General features: G+C 46.0%; 2 pseudogenes across 1 annotated transcript; one reads left to right on the top strand and one right to left on the bottom strand.

Moving 5' to 3' along the window:
• Positions 1-3354: 3354 nt before the first annotated feature.
• LOC644936 (actin beta pseudogene) lies at positions 3355-4748 on the top strand (annotated as a pseudogene). The gene has a single exon (NR_004845.2). The product of NR_004845.2 is annotated as an actin beta pseudogene (transcript).
• KRT18P45 (keratin 18 pseudogene 45) lies at positions 13988-15433 on the bottom strand (annotated as a pseudogene).

Genomic DNA, 23061 nt, shown 5'->3' with positions numbered 1-23061 from the left:
CTGCCAACCATAAAATCTTTGAATCCACCTATGACCAGGAACCGTCCCCGTCCTCACTTCAAGTTGTCCCAATTTTCTTTTTCTTTTTCTTTTTTTTTTTTTTTGAGACGGAGTCTTGCTCTGTCGACTGGAGTGCAATAGTGTGATCTCAGGTCACTGCAACCTCTACCTCCCGGGTTCAAGCGATTCTCCTGCCTCAGCCTCCCGAGTAGCTGGAATTACAGGTGTGTCCCACTTTTCCAGACTGAACCAATGTACACCTTACATTGATTGATGTGTGCCTATAACTTCTGTCCCCCTAAAAGGTATAGAGTCAAGCTGTAACCCAACCACCTTGGGCACATGTTCCCAGGACCTCCTGAGGCTGTGTCACCAGTCACAATCCCTAGCCTTGGCAAAATAAGCTTCTAAATTGATTGAGACTTGTCTCAGATACTTTTTGGTTTACATGATAAGGGACATATATCCAATATATAAAGAATTCTTCAAATGCAACAATAGGAAAAGAACTCAATTTTTTAAATGGACAAAATATCTGAATAGAACACTTCAACAGAGGAGATATATGAATGACAAATAAGAACATGAAAAGATGCTGTTGGCCAGGGCGGTGGCTCACACCTGTAATCCCAGCATTTTGGGAGGCCGAGGCGTGTGGATCACCTAAGGTCAGGAGTTTGAGACCAGCCTAACCAACATTGTGAAACCCTGTCTCTACTAAATACAAAAAATTAGCCGGGCTTGGTGACGCATGCCTATAATCCCAGCTACTTGGGAGGCTGAGGCAGGAGAATCGCTTGAACCCAGGAGGCAGAGGTTACAGTGAGCCGAGATTGCACTATTGCACTACAGCCTGGGCAACAAAAGCGAAACTCCATCTCAAAAAACAAACAAAACAAAAGAAGCCAAGACTGCATCCTCCCCACGAGCACAGAGCCTCGCCCTCTCCACTCCGCCGCCCATCCACACCTGCTGCCAGCTCACCATGCATGACGATATCACTGCTCTCGTATTCAACAATGGCTCTGGCATATGCAAGGCTAGCTTTGCGAGCGATGGTGTCCCCCGGGCTGCCTTCCCCTTCATCATGGCACCAGGGCATGATGGTGGGCATGGGTCAGAAGGACTCCTATGTGGATGAGGCCCAGAGCAAGAGAGGCATCCTGACCCTGAAGTACCCCATTGAGCATAGCATCATCACCAACTGGGATGACATGGAGATCTGACACCACACCTTCTTTTTTTTTTTTTTTTTTTTCCTTTAAAAGAAAAGTTTATTACAGTTTCCAAGAGAAAGGGGCATGTCACACCATGAGGGGCCACACAGGGAAGAACGAGGTCAATCAGGAAGCAGCAGAATGAGGAAAAAGCCTGGGCAAAACCTTTACTGTTGTTTTCACAGAAGGCATGGGTGAAACAGAGTAAGCAGCCGAGCAGGCTGAGGATTGGATAGTTTCTTTTTTTTTTTTTATTTTTTATTTTTATTTTTTTATTTTTTTTTATTGATCATTCTTGGGTGTTTCTCGCAGAGGGGGATTCGGCAGGGTCATAGGACAATAGTGGAGGGAAGGTCAGCAGATAAACAAGTGAACAAAGGTCTCTGGTTTTCCTAGGCAGAGGACCCTGCGGCCTTCCGCAGTGTTTGTGTCGCGGGGTACTTGAGATTAGGGAGTGGTGATGACTTTTAACGAGCATGCTGCCTTCAAGCATCTGTTTAAGAAAGCACATCTTGCACCGCCCTTAATCCATTTAACCCTGAGTGGACACAGCACATGTTTCAGAGAGCACAGGGTTGGGGGTAAGGTCACAGATCAACAGGATCCCAAGGCAGAATAATTTTTCTTAGTACAGAACAAAATGAGAAGTCTCCCATGTCTACCTCTTTCCACACAAACACAGCAACCATCCAACCTCTCAATCTTTTCCCCACCTTTCCCCCCTTTCTATTCCACAAAACCGCCATTGTCATCATGGCCCATTCTCAATGAGCTGCTGGGCACACCTCCCAGACGGGGTGGCAGCCGGGCAGAGGGGCTCCTCACTTCCCAGTAGGGGCAGCTGGGCAGAGGCGCCCCTCACCTCCCTGACGGGGCGACTGGCCGGGCGGGGGGCTGACCCCCCCACCTCCCTCCCGGACGGGGCGGCTGGCCGGGCAGAGGGGCTCCTCACTTCCCAGTAGGGGCGGCCGGGCAGAGGCGCCCCTCACCTCCCGGACAGGGCGGTTGGCCGGGCGGGGGCCTGACCCGCCCCACCTCCCTCCCGGCCCCACCTCCCTCCCGGACAGGGCGGCTGGCCGGTCGGGGGGCTGACCCCCCCACCTCCCTCCCGGACGGGGCGGCTGGCTGACCCCCCGACCTCCCTCCCGGACGGGGTGGCTGCCGGGCGGAGACGCTCCTCACTTCCCAGACGGGGTGGCTGCCGGGCAGAGGGGCTCCTCACTTCTCTGACAGGGCGGCTGCCGGGTGGAGGGGCTCCTCACTTCTCAGACGGGGCGGTTGCCAGGCGGAGGGTCTCCTCACTTCTCAGACGGGGCGGCCGGGCAGAGACGCTCCTCACCTCCCAGACGGGGTCGCGGCCGGGTAGAGGCGCTCCTCACATCCCAGACGGGGTGGCGGGGCAGAGGTGCTCCCCACATCTCAGACGATGGGCGGCCGGGCAGAGACGCTCCTCACTTCCTAGATGGGATGGCGGTCGGGAAGAGGCGCTCCTCACTTCCTATATGGGATGGCGGCCGGGCAGAGACGCTCCTCATTTTCCAGACTGGGCAGCCAGGCAGAGGGGCTCCTCACATCCCAGACGATGGGCAGCTAGGCAGAGACGCTCCTCACTTCCCAGACGGGGTGGCGACCGGGCAGAGGCTGCAATCTCGTCACTTTGGGGGGCCAAGGCAGGCGGCTGGGAGGTGGAGGTGGTAGCAAGCCGAGATCACGCCACTGCACTCCAGCCTGGGCACCATTGAGCGCTGAGTGAACCAGACTCCGTCTGCAATCCCGGCACCTCGGGAGGCCGAGGCTGGCGGATCACTCGCGGTTAGGAGCTGGAGACCAGCCCGGCCAACACAGCGAAACCCCGTCTCCACCAAAAAAATACGAAAACCAGTCAGGCGTGGCGGCGCGCGCCTGCAATCGCAGGCACTCGGCAGGCTGAGGCAGGAGAATCAGGCAGGGAGGTTGCAGTGAGCCGAGATGGCAGCAGTACAGTCCAGCTTCGGCTCGGCATCAGAGGGAGACCGTGGGGAGAGAGGGAGAGGGAGACCGTGGGGAGAGGGAGAGGGAGAGGGAGAGGGACACCACACCTTCTACAACGAGCCGGGTGTGGCTCTTGAGGAGCACGCTGTGTTGCTGACTGAGGCCCCTCTGAACCCCAAGGACAACTGCGAGAAGATGACTTAGATCATGTTTGAGACCTTCACACCCCAGCCATATACGTGGCCATCCAGGCCGTGCTGTCCCTGTACGCCTCTGGCCATAGCTGGCATTGTGATGGACTCCGGTGATGGGGTCACCAACACTGTGCCCATCTATGAAGGGTACACCCCTCCCCCACACCATCCTGTGTCTGGACCTGACTGGCCGGAACCTGACTGACTACCTCATGAAGATCCTCACCCAGTGTGGCTACAGCTTCACCACCACAGTCATGCAGGAAATTGTGTGTGACATCAAGAAAAGGCTGTGCTACATCCCCCTGGACTTTGAGCAGGAGATGGCCATGGTGGGCTCCAGCTCCTCCCTGGAGAAGAGCTACAAGCTGCCCAATGGCCAGGTCATCACCATTAGCAACAAGTGGTTCTGCTGCCCCGAGGCACTCTTCCAAACTTCCTTCGTGGGCATGGAATCCTGTGGCATCCACGAAACTACCTTCAACTCCATCATGAAGTCGGATGTGGACATCTACAAAGACCTGTATGCCAACACAGTGCTGTCTGGCAGCACCACCATGTACCCTAGCATCACCAACAGGATGCAGAAGGAGATTACCGCCCTGGCGCCCAGCGCAATGAAGATCAAGATCATTGCTCCTCCTGAGTGCAAGTACTCTGTGTGGATCAGAGGCTCCATCCTGGCCTCGCTGTCCACCTTCCAGCAGATGTGGATCAGCAAGCAGGAGTACAGTGAGTCCAGCCCCTCCATCGTCCACCGCAAATGCTTCTAGGTGGACTGTGACTTAGTTGCATTACACTCTTTCTTGACAAAACCTAACTTGCACTAAAAACAAGATGAGATTGGTGTGACTTTGTTTTTTTTGTGGCTGGAGTTTTCTTTTGGCTTGACTCAGGATTTAAAAACTGGAACGGTGAAGGTGACAGCAGTCGGTTGGAGCGAGCATCCCCCAAAGTTCTACAATGTGGCCGAGGACTTTGATTGTACGTTGTTCTTTTTTTTGATAGTCATTCCAAATATCATGGGATGCATTGTTACAGGAAGTCCCTTGCCCTCCTAAAAGCCACCTCACTTCTCTCTAAGGAGAATGGCCCAGTCCTCTCCGGAGTCCACACAGGGGAGGTGATAGCATTGCTTTCGTGTAAATTATGTAATACAATTTTTAAAAAATCTTCACCTTAATACTTTTTTACTTTGTTTTATTTTGAATGATCAGCCTTCGTGGCTCCCCATTTCTTTTCCCCCAACTTAAGATGTATGAAGGCTTTTGGTCTCCCTGGAAGTGCGTGGATGCAGCCAGGACTTACCTGTACACTAACTTGAGACCAGTTGAATAAAAGTGTACACCTTAAAAAAAAAAAAAAAAGAAAGAAAAGATGCTGTCAACATCGTTTTTCATTTAGAGAAAGGCAAAGTACAAAACATAAGATGCCACTACATACACATCAGAATATTTAAGATAAGAAATGAACTAACAATAACAAATGCTGTCAAGGATTTGAAACATCGGTACTGTCTTTCATTGCTAATGGGAATGCAAAAATGATACAGCCATGTTGGAAGACAGTTTCCCAGTTTTTAATGTTCAACATAGACTTACCATATGACCTAGTAGTCTTTCTCCTAGGTTTTCAAAACCACCTGATTTGAAAACACGTCCACACAGAAACCTGTACGTGAATGTTTATAACAGATTTATTCATAATTATCCAAAACCAGAAGCAACCAAGATGTCCTTCAATAAGTGAATGGGTAAACAAAATGTGGCACATATGATGGAAAACTATTCAGCAAGAAAAAATGGGAAATACTATTTATCCACACAGTAGCATGGATGAATCTTTTTGTTGTTGTTGTTTGAGACAGTCTCACTCTGTCACCCAGCCTGGAGTGCAGTGGCATGATCTCGGCTCACTGCAACCTCTGCCTCCTGGGTTCAAGTGATTCTCCCACCTCAGCCTCCTGAGTAGCTGGGATTACAGGCACCCACCGTCATGCCCAGTTAATTTTTTGTATTTTTGTAGAGATAGGGTTTCACCATGTTGACCAGGCTGGTCTTGAAACCCTGACCTCAGGTGATCCACCCGCCTTGGCCTCCCAAAGTGCTGGGAATACGGGTGTGAGCCACTGCACCCGGCCTTTTTTTTTTTTTTTGAGATGGAGTCTGACTCTTTCACCCAGGCTGGAGTGAATGGCATGATCTCTGCTCACTGCAACCTCCGCCTTCCAGGTTCAAGCAATTCTCCTGCCTCAGCCTCCTGAGTAGCTGGGATTACAGGCGCCTGCCACCATGCCCAGCTAATTTTTGTATTTTTAGTAGAGACAGGTTTTGCCTTGTTGGCCAGTCTGGTCTTGAACTCCTGACCTCAGGTGATCCACCTGCCTTGGTCTCCCAAAGTGCTAAGATTACACATGTGAGCCACCATGCCCGGCCACATGGATGAATCTTAAGGGAATTTTGCTAAGGGGGAATAAAACAGACTAGAAATGCTATATATTGAATAATTCCCTTCACAAGACATTCTAGAAATGGCCAAACTGTAGGGATGGAAAATGGATCAGTGGTTTCTAGGGACTAGGAAAAGGAGAAGTTAACTAGGGAAAGCACAGGCTGTTCTTTATTTTTATTTATTTATTTATTTTGAGACAGAGTTTCGCTCTCGTTGCCCAGGCTGGAGTGCAATGGCGTGATCTCGGCTCACCGCAACCTCTGCCTCCTGGATTCAAGCGATTCTCCTGCCTCAGCCTCCTGAGTAGCTGGGATTGCAGGCATGTGCCACCATGCCCACCTAATTTTGTAGTTTTAGTAGATATGGGGTTTCTCTATGTTGGTCAGGCTGATCTTGAACTCCTGACCTCAGGTGATCTGCCCACCTCGGCCTCCCAAAGTGCTGGGATTATAGGCGTGAGCCACTGTGCCCAGCTGCATAGGCTATTCTTTAGGGTGATGAAACTAACCCATATGGTACTGCAGGGATGGATCTAGGACTTTAAGCATTTATCAAACCCATAGAATCTATAACAAAAAGGATGTATGAAAACTTAATGTATGAAATTTAAAAAAAAAAATCAACAAGGAGGTCAAAGATAAAGGGATGCAATTAGACTGTGCCTATGCTGAATAATTTACTTCCAAAAAGTAGGATATGGAAAGGGGGAAGGAATAAAAGTAACTTCACAGTGGGGAAATCTGGCAGCCATCACCTTAACCAAGTGATTGAAGTTAACATCACCAGTAAAGGGACAAATAAATTTTTCTGTGCCCCCTGTGTGATGCACTGAGAAGGACATGTCACTTCTATGGTAACCATAGCCAAAATGTGTAATACAAATCTAAGTATGAGGAAATGTCAGAAGAAAACAAAATTGAAGGACTTTTTTTTTTTTAGACGGAGTCTGTCTAAATGCTGTCGCCAGGCTGGAGTGCAGTGGCGTGATCTTGGCTCACTGCAACCTCCGCCTCCCAGGTTCAAGCTATTCTGCCTCAGCCTCCCAAGTAGCTGGGACTACAGCTGTGACAGCGCCTGCCACAACGCCCAGCTAATTTTTTATATTTTTAGTAGAGACGGCGTTTCACCGTGTTAGCCAGGATGGTCTCGATCTCCTGACCTTGTGATCTGCCTGCCTCGGCCTCCCAAAGTGCTGAGATTACAGGTGTGAGCCACTGCACTCGGCCAGGACAGTCTATAAAATAACTGGACTATTCAAAAAAGTCAAGATAGTGGCTGGGCGCGGTGGCTCATGCCTGTAATCCCAGCACTTCGGGAGGCTGAGTTGGGTGGATCACCTGAGGTCAGGAGTGTGAGACCAGCCTGGCCAACATGGCGAAACCTCATCTCTACTAAAAATACAAAAATTAGGCAGGCATGGTGGCAGGCGCCTGTAATCCCAGCTCCTCGGGAGGCTGAGGCAGGAGAATTGCTTGAACCAGGGAGGCAGACGTTGTGGTGAGCCAAGATCGTGCCATTGCACTCCAGCCTGGGCAACAAGAGCGAAATTCCGTCTCAAAAAAAAAAAAAAAAAAAAATCAAGATCATGAAAGCAAAGAAAGACTGGGGAACTGTTTAAAGGAGACTAACCAGCCTGAAAACGAAATAAAATATGCAATCCTGGACTGGATCATGACTGGAAAAAAAAGGTCTATAAAAAGCATCAGTTAAATTTGAATACAATCTTCAGACTGAAACTCAGGCATCAGCACTTTTTAAAGTTCCTGGTAGATTTCCATGTGCAGCCAAATTTGAAAATCAGTAGAGTTTCTCCCGTAGTCTTCATTTAGACCTCACTACTGGCCCAATTAAACCAGGCAGTTTGTAACTTCTGCATAGTGTCTCAAAGTGTTTAGGAAGCTCTGAAGACAGAGAGATTATAAAGATGACATGGTATAAACCTAATATTGGCATGCTTTTATGGTAATTAATAAGACAAATGATTATGAAACTACATTAAACGAATTGCAGAGGGCTTGAATGATGTAAATAATTAATCTTCCTTCCTAATTACAATGATGTTCCTTAGTCATCAATTCTGGCTTCTTAATTTCTAAAGACAAGCTTCGATTGCTAAAGTAAAAAGGCCAGCCTGGACAACACGATGAAACCTCATCTCTACTAAAAATGCAAAAATTAGCCGGTGTGGTGGTGGGCCCCTATAATCCCAGTTACTCGGGAGGCTGAGGTGGGATAATCGCAGGAGGCTGAGGTGGGATAATCGCATGAACCTGGGAGGCGGAGCCTGCAAGATCGCACCACTGCCCTCCAGCCTGGGCAACAGAGTGAGACTCTGTCTCAAAAAATAAATAAATAAAAAAGTAAAAAGGGCACACAATGAAATCAACACAAGAGTTAAGAACCAAAGTAGCTTGACTCTAGGTGTCAGATTTCAGTTCTCTTGACTGTCAGTACTAGGAGCTATTCCATGTTTTCCTTTGTTGTTGTTGTTGTTTTGTTTTGCTTTGAGATAGGATCTCACTCTGTTATCAGGCTGGGGTGCAGTGGCATGAACTTGACCCCACTTCAACCTCTGCCTCCTGGGCTCAAGCAATCCTCCCACCTCAGCCTCCCAAGTAGCTGAGACCACAGATGCATGCCATCATGCCTGGCTAATTTTTGTTTCTTTTGTGGAGACAGGGATCTTGCCATGTTATCCAGCCTGGTCTCCAACTCCTGTGCTCAAGCGATCCACCCACCTCAGCCTCCCAAAGTGCTGGGATTACAGGTGCGTGTCACTGCCCCCAGTCTCCATCTTTTCTTTCTTACTTCCTCTGGGCCCAGAACACCATACTGGGCCTTTTCACCTCCTCAAAGATGTTTTTCACTACTTACATGTGCTGAAATTGCCAAAAAATAAAAAGCAATAGCACTGCCACCACATTCATCCTCCAGATAGGGCCCCATCTCTCCGCACTTTCCAGGCAAACTGCTGAGCACTTTCTATTTCCTCACTCCTACTCACTCTTCAAACCATTAGAATCGGCCCTCTTGCCCAGAACTTTACCAAGTCCCCCAAAGATTTCCTTGCTAATAAACCCAAAGGACAACTTTCCTTCTTTATTAACTGGTCCTCAGCCGTGTTTTACACTGTTGGCCATTCCAGACACGCAGACCCAGAACAAGTTTTGAAGTCAGACAGCCTAAATTCAAATCCTGGCTTGGCCACTCACTAGCCCAGCAACCATAGCCAGCTACCTAATATCAGAGCCTCAGTTTCCTCAAGTGTTGCATGGAGATTGTAACAATATGTACCCCTGGAACAGGTTGCCATAAGTGCTGAACACCATGTCTGGCATTTGGTAAGCACTCAATGAATTATGATTTTCTAATAAAAATTTCTCTTGTCGGCAGGCATGGTGGTTCATGACTGTAATTCCAGCACTTTAAGAGTCCAAGGCAGGAAGATTGCTTGAGCCCAGAAGTTTGAGACCATCCTGGGCAACAGCAAGACCTTTTCTCTACAAAAAAATTTTTAAACATTAGCTGGTGTGGTAGCACATGCCTGTAGTTCCAGTTGGGAGGCTGAGGTGGGAGGATTACTTGAGCCCAGGAGGTCGAGGCTGCAGTGATCTGCGATTGAGCTACTGCACTCCAGTCTGGGCAACAGAGTGAGATCCTGTCTCAAAACTGATCCATTCATCAACTGATGGACATTTGTGTTGTTTTCACTTTTTGGCTACTATGAATGATGTTTCACTATGAACACTCATGTACAGGTTTTTGTGTGGACATATGTTTTCACCACTCTTGGTTAGCCCAGCAACTGTAGCCAGTTACCTAAGCTCAGTTCTACTTGGGAGTAAAATTACTAGGCCATGCAGTAACTGTGTGTTTAACATTCAGAAGAACTGCCAGATAGTTTCCCAAAGTCATAATACCAATTTACAATCCCACCAGCAATGTAAGAGAGTTCCAATTTCTCCATATTCTTGTCAACATTTATTATTATCTTTTTAAATTTTAGCCATTCCAGTGTGTGTAAAGTGATATGTCATTCTGGTTGTTTTTTGTTGTTGTTGTTGTTGTTTGTTTTGGAGACAAAGTCTTACTCTGTTGCCCAAGCTGGAGTGCAGTGGCACGATTTGGGCTCACTGCAACCTCCACCTCCCTGGTTCAAGCGATTCTTGTGCCTCAGCCACCCAAGTAGCTGGGATTACAGGCGCGCACCACCATGCTCAGCTAATTTTTGCATTTTTAGTAGAGACAGGGTTTCACCATGTTGGCCGGGCTGATCTTGAACTCCTGACCTCAGGTGATCCACCCATCTCAGCCTCCCAAAGTGCTGGGATTACAGGTGTGAGCCACTGTGCCCAGCCCTCATTCTGGTTTTGATTAGCATTTCCCTAATGAATAGTGATGTTTATTGTTTTGCATATACTTATCAGACATTTTCATACCTTCTTTGGAGAAATATCTATTCAAATATCTTGCCAATTTTTAAAATGAGTTATTTGTGTTTTTATTGTTGAGTTGTAAGTGTTCTTTATATATTCTAAGTACTAGCCCCTTTTCAAATCAATGGTTTGCAAATATTTCCTCCCATTCTGTGGGCTGCCTTTTTTACTTTAAGAACATCTTTTTTTTTCCCCCTCTCCAACTTTTATTTTAGATTCAGAAACAAAGCTATTTTTCCAACATATCCAACATGCTTCTGGCTCAAGGCCTTTGCACTGACTATTCTCTCTGCCTGGGTGACCTTTCCTGGGTCTTCACATAGTTCCCTTCCTCTGTCCATTCATGTCTGTCTCCTTAGGCAGCCTTCTCTGACCACCATATATAAAGTAGCATTCCCATGACTACCCCTTTCCTCTGCTTAGTTTTCCTTATAACCCTTATCCCTGCCTGAAATTGTATTATCAGTTTCTCTATTACTTGTCTGTTTCCTCTATTAGAATGTAAGTTCTACAAAGACTAGAATGTTGTCTTGTTCTGTGTTCTATCTCCAACACTTAACAAAATCCATGAGTCATGAAAGGCACTTAATAACATTTTGTAGAAAGAATGAATAAATGTAAGAAGTTGGTGAGTTTCCCCAGTCAGGTTTACCGATGAAGCTATCCCAAGATGCAGATGAGAGATAGATACTGTTTTAGATACCTGAAATGGTCACCGGGGACTAGGTATAGGACCATCCACAGACACAGGTTCACTTTAACACATCTGTTTCACTGACACCAGAGTGAGGCTGGGCGTGGTGGCTCACGCCTGTAATCCCAGCACTTTGGGAGGCCAAGACGGGTAGATTGCTTGAGGTCAGGAGTTTTGAGACCAGCCTGGCCAACATGGCAAAACCCCATCTCTACAAAAATTACAAAAATTAGCCAAGTGTGGTGGTGCATGCCTGTAGTCTCAGCCACTTGGGAGGCTGAGGCACAAGAATTGCTTGAACCCGGGAGATAGAGGTTGCAGTGAGCCAAGATCACGGCACTGTACTCCAGCCTGGGTGACAGTGCAAGACTCTGTCTCAAAAGAAAAAAAAAAAACAAGAGTAAGATATTCCATATGGGTACAATATCAGTAACAGCGGAGGCTTTCACCAGGTTCAAAGGGTGGGCCAACAATCAATCTTGGATTACTAAACCTCTCTCTGAAAGATTTTGTCATTTTGGTCTTCCTGGAGTTTGTTGGAAATTCCCAGTTTTTTGGACAAAAATATTTAATTTTGATTTGTCTCAGTCTAGCAGCTTGCATCTTCTTGCCAGTTAGAGCTCATTCTAGGGTATGTGCTGTCAACTAGCTGTCACAGCCTTTCTTAGCACCAAGAGAAACCTGGCTAAGATCTTTTGCTTTCTGCCCTTCATCCTCCATTCCTCGAATTCTGTACTTGCAGAATTTTACCTACTCTATAGCTGGTATGTCTTATCTTTCTCTTCCCTTCCCATTCTTTTTTGTTGTTGTTTAGACGGAGTCTCACTCTGTCACCCAGGCTGGAGTGCAGTGACACGATCTCGGCTCTCTGCAGCCTCTGCCACCGCGCCTGGCCTTGCTGTAAGGTTTTATATTCATTTTCTAGCAGATCTATGGCTTGATGCAACAAGCGAGAGTTGTGTTCCAACTTCTCTGCTTCCCAGCCCCTGCCAAGCTATCAACTCAGCACTCAGTTCGGATTAGAAATGGTCTATGTAGTTTTCAACTATTGTTAACAAAGATTCCTTTTGTGAGACATTCATCATCTGTTTTTTAATTTCTCAGTCTGGTCACCTGCAGCTATTTCAGCTGCACAATGCCATTACTCAAAACTTGAATTTCATTTTCTTTGTGAACAAGAGCACTTGCTATGTCTTCTGGAAATTTCTGACAACGTTCGATTGGATCACCGAACTCACTTCAGTCTTCTGCTTCCTGTTGCAAGTATTCAAGTCTCTCTCTTTTTAAAATAGGTGCGGCCAGGTGTGGTGATTCATGCCTGTAATCTCGGCGCTCTGGGAGACTGAGGCAGGCAGATTGCCTGAGCTCAGGAATTTGAGATCAGCCTGGGCAACAAGGCAAAACCCTGTCTCTACAAAAAAATACAAAAATTAGCCAGGCATGGTGGCATGTGCCTATAGTCCCCAGCTGTGCAGGAGGCTGAGGTGGGAGGATCACCTGAATCAGGGAAGTAAAGGCTGCAGTGAACCATGATTGTGCAACTGCACTCCAGCCTGGGCAATGGGATTGAGACCCTGTCTCAAAGAAAAAAAAATATATTATCCAGGTGTGGTGGTACACACCTGTAGTCCCAGCTACTCGGGAGGCTAGGGCAGAAGGATTGCTTGAGCCCAAGGGGTTCAAAGTCAAAGTGAACTGTGATGGCATCACTGCACTCCAGCTTGGGTGACGGAGCAAGACAATCTCAAAAAAAAAAAAAAAATTAGACCGGGGGCAGTGGCTCACGCCTGTAATCTCAGCACTTTGGGAGGCTGAGGTGGGTGGATCACTTGAGGTCAGGAGTTCGCGACCAGCCTGGCCAACATGGTGAAACCCCCATCTCTATTAAAAATACAAAAATTAGGCCAAGCATGGTGGCTCACGCCTGTAATCCCAACACTTTGGGAGGCCGAGGTGGGCAGATTACCTGAGGTTAGGAGTGTGAGACCAGCCTGGCCAACATGGTGAAACCCCGTCTCTACTAAAAATACAGAAAAATTAGCTGGGCATGGTGGCATGTTCCTGTAATCCCAGCTACTCGGGAGGCTGAGGCAGGAGAATTGCTTGAACCAGGGAGTTGGAAGTTGAAGTGAGCTGACATCATGCCACTGCACTCCAGCCTGGTGACAGAGCGACACTCCATCTCAAAAACAAAACAAAACAAACAAACCAACAAAAAAATACAAAAATTAGCCAGGCGTGGTGGCGGGCGTCTGTAATCCCAGCTACTCGGGAGGCTGAGGCATGAGAATCATCTGAACCTGGGAGGCGAAGGTCCTGCCACTGCACTCTAGCCTGGGTAACAGAGTGAGACTCTGTCTTAAAAAAAAAAAATTAATTGACAAAGATTGTATATACTCGAGGCATACAGCATGATGATTTGATATATGTGTATAGATTTTGTAATGATTATCACAATCAAATTAACACATTCAACACTACCCTTGCTGTTCAGTAGATCCCTAGAACTTGTTCATCTTTTTTTTTTATTTAGACGTGGGGGTCTGAGCCAAGCTCAGAAATTGTTCTTCTTATAGCTGAAAGTTTATATCCTGTGATCAACATCTTTTCATTTCTCCTACTCCTCAGCCTTTGGCAACCATCGTTCTACTCTCTGCTTCTATAAGTTTGACTTTTTTAGATTCTACAAGTAAATGAAATCATACGTTATGTGTCTTTCTGGGTCTGGCTTATTTCACTTAGCATAAGGTCTTCTGCTTTCATCAATGTTGTTGCATATTACAAGATTTTCTTCTTTTACTTGGCTTGAATGATATCCTATTGTATATATATACACCAAAATTTTCTTCATTCATCCATCCATGGACACTTAGGTTGTTTCCATATCTTGGCTATTGTGAATAATGCTGCAATTAACATGGGAATGCAGATATCTCTTTGAGATACTGATTCCATTTCCTTTGGATATATACTCAGAAGTGGAATTGTTGGATTGTATGGTATTTCTATTTAAAATTTTTTTTCCCAATGACCTCTGAATGTTTTATTGGCCTCCTACTCCCCAAAGGATACCCTGCTTCTGCTGGCTGAATGTCTCGGCACTTTGGTGTCGTTGGTTTCAAACACCTAGGGTTTTTTTGGTGTCGTTGGTCTCAAACACCTAGGGGATTTTTGGTGTTGTTGGTCTCAAACAGCTAGGGGACCTCCTATGCCATCCACTATCCTGTGGGTGGTGGTCTTCTGGATGCTTTGGATGGAGTTGCTGCTATCCAGGGCATCACCAGGATTGAAGCCCTCCTCATCTTCCAGCAGGTGGTGGTAGGTAGTGATCTCCGCCTCCAGCTTGATCTTTATGTTCAGCAGAGCCTCAAATTCCTGGACCTGGTGTTGCCCCTCTGCCCAGGTCTGTGCCAGCTCCAACTTCAAGTGCAGCAGAACCCTGTTGAGCTGCTCCATCTGCATGGCATAGCGGGTCTCCACCTCCCTCAGGCTGTTCTCCAACCTGGCTTTCAGATTTCTCATTGAGTTCAGGTTGATCTCCAAGGACTGGAGTGTATGTCTCAGCTCCATGAGCATTATCTCAGAAGCTCCGATCTCAGCGGACTGCTTGGTGCTCTCCTCAGTCTGCTAGGACCAGTACTTGTTCAGCTCCTCTCGGTTCTTCTGAGCCAACTTGTCATATTGGGCACGGATGTCTGCCATGATCTTGGCCAGGTCCTGAGATTTGAGGGCATCTACCTGCATGGTCAACCCAGAGCTGGCAATCTGGGCTTGGAGGCCTTTTACTTCCTCTTCGTGGGTCTTCTTCATGAAGAGTAGCTCCTCCTTGAGAGCCTCAATCTCTGTCTCCAGCTGCAGCTGAGTGACATTGGTGTCATCAGTGGTCTTGCGGAGCCCATGGATGTCACTCTCCACAGACTGGCACATGGCCAGTTCTGTCTCACACTTGACTCTAAAGTCATCAGCAGCTATATGGGCCTTGTCAGTCTGCAGAATGATGCAGGCACTGTCCATAGTACTTGCGAAGATCTGAACCCTCAGGTCCTCAATGGTCTTGAAGTAATGCCCCTAGTCTCTGACCTGGGGTCCCTTCTTCTCCAGATGCTCCCAGACTTTGCTCTCCAGCCTCCATTTCTCGGTCTCTCAGGCTCCTCACTCTGTCCAGGTAGGAGGCCAGACAGTCATTCAGGCCTTGCATGGTCTCCTTCTCGTTCTGGATATCCCCTATTCCCACCAGGTCCCCCAAGCCACCCCAGAAGCTTGTGGAGTGGGACACGGAGATCTGGAAGCCTGAGCCCCCAGCACCTGCATAGACACTGGCCACACTGCTGACCAGCTGGGCCACGTAGCTGGGCAGCTGGACAGAGCCCAGGGAACAGTAGTTGGTGGAGGAGGTGGTGGAGTGAGTGGTAAAGCTCATGCTGTCTGGGGAGGAAAGCAAGAGGACAGGACTCAAGTTCTGCCTAGGACCTAATTTTATTTATTTATTTATTTATTTATTTATTTATTTATTTATTTTTAGCCAGAGCTTCACTCTGTTGCCCAGAGGCTAGAATGCAATGGCATGATCTCAGCTCACTGCAGCCTCCACTTCCCGGGCTCAAGCAATCCTCCCACCTCAGCCTCCTGAGTATCTGGGACTATAGGTGTATACCACCACATCTGGCTAATTTTTGTATTTTTTTATAGAGATGGGGTCTCACTATGTTGCTGAGGCTGGTCTCAAACTCCTGGGCTCAAGCAATCCCCCTGCTTCAGCTTCCCAAAGTGCCGGGACTACAGATGCGAGCCACCACACCTGGCCCTATTTTTAACTTTTGAGAAACTTCCATACTCTTTTTCATAATGGTTGTACTGACTTACATTCCCACCAACAATATACAAAAGTTCTTTTTTCTCCACACCCTTACCAAAAGTTCATGTTCCTTGTCTTTTTGATAACCATTCTAACAGGTGTGAGGCAATACGTCATTGGAGTTTTGACTTGAATTTCTCTGACAATTAGTGCTGTTGAGCACTTTTTCATGTACCCTTTGGCCATTTGTATAGCTTCTTTGGAAAAATCTATATTCAAGATCTTTTGCCCTTTTAAAAAATTGGGTTATTTGTGGCCAGGCGCAGTGGCTCATGCCTGTAATCCCAGCACTTTGGGAGGCTGAGACAGGTGGATCACCTGAGGTCAGGAGTCTGAGACCAGCCTGGCCAACATGGTGAAACCGCATCTCTACTAAAAATTCAAAAAATTAACCGGGTGTGGTGGCAGGTGCCTGTAATCCCAGCTACTTGGGAGGCTGAGGCAGGAGAATCGCTTGAACCCAGGAGGCGGAGGTTGCAATGAGTGGAGATCTCACCATTGCACTCCAGCCTGGGCAACAGAACCAGACTCCTTCTCAAAAAAATAATAAAAATAATTTTAAAAATTTGGTTATTTGGTTTTTTGCTGGTAAGTTGTATGAGTTTCTTATTTTCTTTATATTAACCTTTTTTTTTTTCTTGAGACAGAGTCTCACTTCATTGCCCAGGCCTAAGTGAAGTTGTGTGACCTCGGCTCACTGCAACCTCCACCTCCCAGTTTCAAGCAATTCTCCTGCCTCAGCCTCCCGCGTAGCTGGGATAACAGGCGTGCACCACCATGCCCAGCTAATTTTTGTATTTTTAGTAGAGATGGGGTTTCACCATGTTGGCCAGGCTGGTCTTGAACTCCTGACCTCAAGTGATCTGCCCGCCTCGGCCCCCCAAAGTGTTGGGATTACAGGCGTGAGCCACCGCGCCCGGCCTATATTGACTTTTTTTCAAATGTAAGGTTTACATATATTTGCCCTCATTCCATAGGTTACCTTTTCATTTTGTTGGTTGTTTCCTTTGCTACGCAGAAGCAGTTTAGTTTGATGTAGTTCCATTTGTTTATTTTTACTTTTATTGCCTGAGCTTTGGTGTCACAGCCAAAAAATAATTATAAAGACCAATGTCAAGAAACTTTTCCCCTAATATCAAGAAGTCTTTTCCTATGTTTTCTTCTGGGAGTTTTATATTTCAAGTCTTACATTTAAGTCATTTTCAGTTAATTTTTATATATAATGTAAGGGTCCAATTTCTTTTTTTTTTGCATGTGACATACAGTTTTCCCAACATCAGTTATTTGTTTATTTATTTATTTAAAAATTTTTTTTTTTGAGATGGAGTCTCACTCTGCCACCCAGGATAGAATGCAGTGGCGCTATCTTGGCTTACTGCAACACCCCCTCCAGGGTTCAAGCAATTCTCCTGCCTCAGCCTTGCAAGTAGCTGGCATGTGCCACCATGCCTGGCCAATTTTTATGTTTTTAGTAGAGACAGGGTTTCACCATGTTGGCCAGGCTGGTCTCGAACTCCTGACCTCAGGTGATCTGCCCACCTCGGCCTCCAAATGTGCTGGGATTATAGGCCTGAGCCACCGTGCTTGCCCTATTTATTTATTTTTTTGAGACAGAGTCTCACTCTGTTGCCCAGGCTGGAGTGCAGTGGTGTGACCTCAGCTCACTGCAGCCTCTGCTGGTTCAGGCAATTCTCCTGCTTCAGCATCCTGAGTAGCTGGGATCACAGGCGTGCACTAGCACGCCCAGCTAATTTTTGCATGTTTTAAGAGAAATGGGGTTTTGCCATGTTGGCCAGGCTGGTCTCAAACTCCTGACCTCATGTGATCCACCCGCCTCAGCCTCTCAAAGTCCGGGGATTACAGGCATGAGCCACCACACCCAGCTTCAACGTCACTTATTGAAGAGACTTTCCTTTTTCCATGTATGTTCTTGGTACCCTTCTCAAAGATTAGTTAACCATGTATACATAGTTTTATTTCTGGGCTCTGTCTATTGTTTCATTGGTCAATGTGTCTGTTTTAATGCCAGTATCATATTATTCTGACTATTATAGCTTTATAATATAGTTTGAAATTAGGGAGTGTCATGTTTCCAGAATTCTTTTTCTTTCTCAAGATTGCTTTGGGTATTTGGATTTTTTTCGTGGTTTTGTATGAATTTTATGACTCTTTTTCTATTTATTTCTGTAAAGAATAGCATTAGAATTGTGATAGGGATTAGAATTTTGATAGGGATTGAATCTGTAGATAGCTTTGTGTACTATAAACATTTTAACAATATTGATTCTTCCAATCCATTAAGATGAAATAGCTTTGTGTACTATAAACATTTTAACAATATTGATTCTTCCAATCCATTAAGATGAAATAGCTTTCCATTTAGTTGTTTCCTCTTCCTCCTCCTCCACCTCCTCCTTCTCCCTCTTCTTTGTAGAGATGAGGTCTCACACTATTGCCCAGGCTGTTCTTGAACTCCTGAGTTCAAGCAATCCTCCTGCTTCAGACTCCCAAAGTGCTGGGATTACAGGTGTGAGACACCATGCCCAACTCTATTTATTCTCTTTCTTTCATCAATATCTTATAGTTTTAAATGTACAGATTCTTCACCTTCCTGGTTAAATTTATTCCTAAATATTTTATTCTTTTTGGTGCTATTGTAAATGGGATCTTTTTTTAATTTCTTTTCTGGAGAGTTCACTGTTAATGTATAGAACGTGCGTGGTAGGAGTAAAAGTATATAGATTTTGTACGCAATTGAAGTTAAATTGTTATCAGCTTAAATTAGAATGTTATAATCATAAGGTGTTTTCTACAAGCCCCATGATAACTATAAAGAAAAAAACCTCTGATCCAAACATCATATAGTTTGGATGTTTCTCTCCTCCAAATCTCATGTTAACATTTGATCCCCAGTGTTGGGAGTGTGGCTTAATGAGAGGTGTTTGGGTCATGGGGGCAGATTCCTCTTTAATAGGTTAATGCCCTCTCTGGGTGGGGTGGGGAGGATAAATGTGTTGTCTCTCTGTTAGTTCCAGAGAGAGCTGGTTGTTAAAAAGAGCCTGGCACCTCCCACCTCTTTGTCACTTCCTCTCTCACTATGCGGTCTCTGCACATGCTAGCTCCCCTTCACCCTCCACCATGAGTGGAAGCAACCTTAGGCCCCCACCAGGTGCCTATATTGAACCTTTCAGCCAGCACAGCCATACTAAATAAGTCTCTCCTTTATAAATTACCCAGCCCTTTTTTTTTTTTTGAGACGGAGTTTCACTCTTGTTGCCCAGGCTGTAGTGCAATGACTTGATCTCAGCTCACCTCAACCTCTGCCTCCCGGGTTCAAGCTAATTTTTTTGTATTTTTAGTAGAGCTGGGGTTTCTCCATGTTGGTCATGCTGGTCTTGTACTCCCGACCTCAGGTGATCTGCCCACCTGAGCCTCCCAAAGTGCTGGGATTGCAGGCGTGAGACACTGCATCTGGCCTCAGCCTTTCCTTTATAAATTGCCCAACCTTTATAACAACATAAAACAGCTTAGGCTGGGCATGGTGGCTGATGCCTGTAATCCCAGCACATTGGGAGGCTGAGGCAGGCAGATCACGAGGTCAGGAGTTTGAGACCAGCCTGATCAACATGGTGAAACCCCATCTCTACTAAAAATACAAAAATTAGCCAGGCATGGTGGCGTGCACCTGTAATCCCAGCTACTCAGGAGGCTGAGGCAGGAGAATGGCTTGAACCCAGGAGGCAGAGGTTGCAATGAGCCAAGATTGTGCCACTGGACTCCAGCCTGGGTGACGGAGTGAGACTTTTTGTATCTAAATAAATAAATAAAACAGCCTAAGTCTGGGTGCAGTGGCTCACACCTGTAATCCCAGCACTTTGGAAGGCCAAGGCTGGTGGATCACTTGAGGCCAGGAGTTCGAGACCAGCCTGGCCAACATGGTGAAACCCCGTCTCTACTAAAAATACACAAATTAGCTGAGCATGGTGGCACATGCTTGTATTCCCAGCCACTTGGGAGGCTAAGACAGGAGGACCATTTGAATCTGGGAGGCAGAGGTTGCAGTGAGCTGAGATAGTGCTACTGCACTCCAGCCTGGGTGATTAAAAAAAAAAAAAGAAAGAAAGAAAAAGAAAAAGAAAAAGAAAGGAATCAAAGCATACAATTACAAAAAAATTCAACAAATCACAAAGGAAGAAAGCAAGATTGAAAGAAACAACAAAGTAGTCAGTAAATAATTAACAAAATGACAACAGTAAGTCCTTACCTATCAATAAATACTTTACCTGTCAGTAATTACTTTAAATGTAAATGAATTAAATTCTCCAATCAAAAGACAGAGTAGCTGAATGGATTTAAAAAAAAAACAGATCCAACAATATGCTACAAGAGACTCATTTTAGCATTAAGGGGACACACAGACTGAAAGTGAAGGGATGGAAAAAGATACTTCATGCAAAGGTAACCAGGGGAGAGAAAGGGTAGCAATACTTACATCAGACAAAACAATCTTTCAGCTCCCTCTCTCTCCTTCTGCTCCTCCTCCCTCGTCCCTCCATGAAAAAAAGAAAAAGAAAGAAAGAAAAAAGAAAAAAATAGACTTTCAGTCTGTCATGAGAAACAAAGAGGGTTAATATATGATGATAAAAGGATCAATTAATAGAGGATATAACAATTGTAAATATACATGCACCCAACATTGGAGCACCTAAATATAGAAAGCAAATATTAACAAAACAGAAGAGAGAAACAGAGAGCAATACAATAATAAAGAACTTCAGTACCCCACTTTCAACAATGGAATCATCCAGACAGAAAAATCAGTAAGGAAACAGAAGACTTGTATAATGCTACAGACCAAATGAACCTAACATCTGTTCATATATACAACATGCCATCTAATAGCAGTGGAATACACATTCTTTTCAAGCACACAGGGAACATTCTTCCAGATAGATCATGTTTTGGGCCACAGAACAAGTCTTAACAAATTTAAGAATATTAAAATCATCTAAAGTATTTTTTCTGACCATAATAGCGTAAAACTAGAAATCAATAACTGAAGAAATTTTTAAAAAATTAATATCTAGAAATTAAATGACATACTCCTGAACAAATCAAAAGTGAAATCAAAAAGTATCTTGAGACAAACAAAAATGGAACGCAACATGCAAAACTCATGAGACGCAGCAAACACACAGGTAAGAGGGAAGTGGATGGCAATAAATGCCTACATTAAGACTCTTTTTTTTGAGACAAGGTCTCACTCTGTCACCCAGGCTGGAGTGCAGTGGCTCGATCATGGCTCACTGCAGCCTCAGCCTTCACAGGCACAGGTGATCCTCCCACCTCAGCTACCCAAGTAGCTGGGACTACAGGCACACACCACCACACCCAGCTAATTTTTTGTAGAGAGGATGAAGTTTCACCATGTTGCCTAGGCTGGTCTCATACTCCTGGGATCAAGCAATTCCCTCGGCCTCCCAACATGCTAGGATTACAGGCATGAGCCACTGTGCCTGGCCACAGCATTTCTTTTTGTTCTGAAGAGGTTTTTAATTTCTGCAAGCATACTACCAGTCACTTCATATCTTTTTTTTCTTTTTATTGACAGAAGCATTCTCCATGAAGAAAATGCCAAAGTAATTACTTCCTAGTAAGGCAGTTATAATTTCCCAAGGCACTTATTACAACTCAGGCCATGGAGATTAGACTGGAGGACAGTGATGTGGCAGAGAAGAGATAGAAGTGCCAGAGATAAGAGCCTGGGCCCGGGAGCAGGAAGTAGGTGACTAGTTGAAGCTGATTCCTGGCAGAGCCAGGGTGAAAAGAAGAGCCCAAGGGAAGAAGGAACTGGAGCTTGGAACCCATTGCTCCCCACAGGAATTCCTGCTGTGTAGTATCTGGCCGTGGTACCCAGGTCTGAATTCTAGAATCAAGTAAGGCAGGCGCATCCCCAGATCTTATTCCCACCCTGATGCAATTGGACCCTCTCCTCAGCAGTATGGTTAGTACCAGTGGTACCTTTCCAGCATGTTCTTTCAGGATGCTTTGCTGTCATCTGCCCCCAAGATTGTTGTAATACACACACAAATCTGCAATGAGTATGATGTGACTGGTACCTCTGAAAGTCACACCATCCACAACTTGCACAATCATACGCTGTGGACTGTCCCTCCTACCTCCTGCAATGTGACCCCCTAATTCCTCAAAGCCCCTTTGGGCTTCTTTAACTTCCTACCCTAAATTGAGCCTAAAAATAAGCATTCCTGGCTGGGTGCGGTGGCTCACCCCTGTAATCCCAGCACTTTGGGAGGCCAAGGCAGGTGGATCACCTGAGGTCTAGAGTTCAAGACCAGCCTGGCCAACATAGGGAAACCCTGTCTCAACTGAAAATACAAAAATTAGCAGGGCGTGGTGGCACGTGCCTGTAATCCAGCTCCTCAGGAGGCTGAGGCAGGAGAATCACTTAAACCTGGGAGGCAGAGGTTGCAGTGAGCCAGGATCATGCCATTGTACTCCAGCCTGGATGACAGAGTGAGACTCCGTCTCAAAAAATAAATAAAAATAGGCATTCCCTTCCTTCTGGGGAAGTTTGCATCTCTAGCTCATTTCATTTCACCTGCCCTCCCTCTTCCTTCACCCCTTCCCAGCATTGCCACTCAAGACAGAAGGTAGACCAGGCTTGGTGGCTCACATCAGTAATCCTAACACTTTGGGAGGATCACTTGAGCCCAGGAGTTTGAGACAAGCCTGGGCAATGCAGAGAGACCTCGTCTCTAGTAAAATTGAAAAATTAGCTGGGCACAGTGGCCAGTGCCTGTAGTCCCAGCTACTGAGGAGGCTAAGGTGGGAGGATTGCTTGAGCACAGTACATTGCAGCTGCAGTGAGCCATAATCATGCCATTGCACTCCAGCCTGGTGACAGAGAAACACCCTGTCTCTAAAAGAAAATAAAAGGAAACAGCTGGGTACGGTGGCTCACACTTGTAATCCCAGCACTTCGGAAGGCTGAGACAGGCGGATCACTTGAGGTCAGGAGTTCAAGACCAGCCTGGCCAATATGGTGAAACCCTGTCTCTACTAAAAATACAAAAAATTAGCTGGGCATTGGCCAGGTGCGGTGGCTCACACCTGTAATCCCAGCACTTTGGGAAGCTGAGGTGGGCGGATCACGAGGTCAGGAGATTGAGACCATCCTGGCTAACACGGTGAAACCCCATCTCTACTAAAAATACAAAAAATT

Source organism: Homo sapiens, chromosome 5 (assembly GCF_000001405.40).
Source record: "Homo sapiens chromosome 5, GRCh38.p14 Primary Assembly".
NCBI lineage: Eukaryota > Metazoa > Chordata > Mammalia > Primates > Hominidae > Homo > Homo sapiens.
Note: the sequence above shows the minus strand (reverse complement) of the source record. Positions and strands in the feature narration are given on the sequence as shown.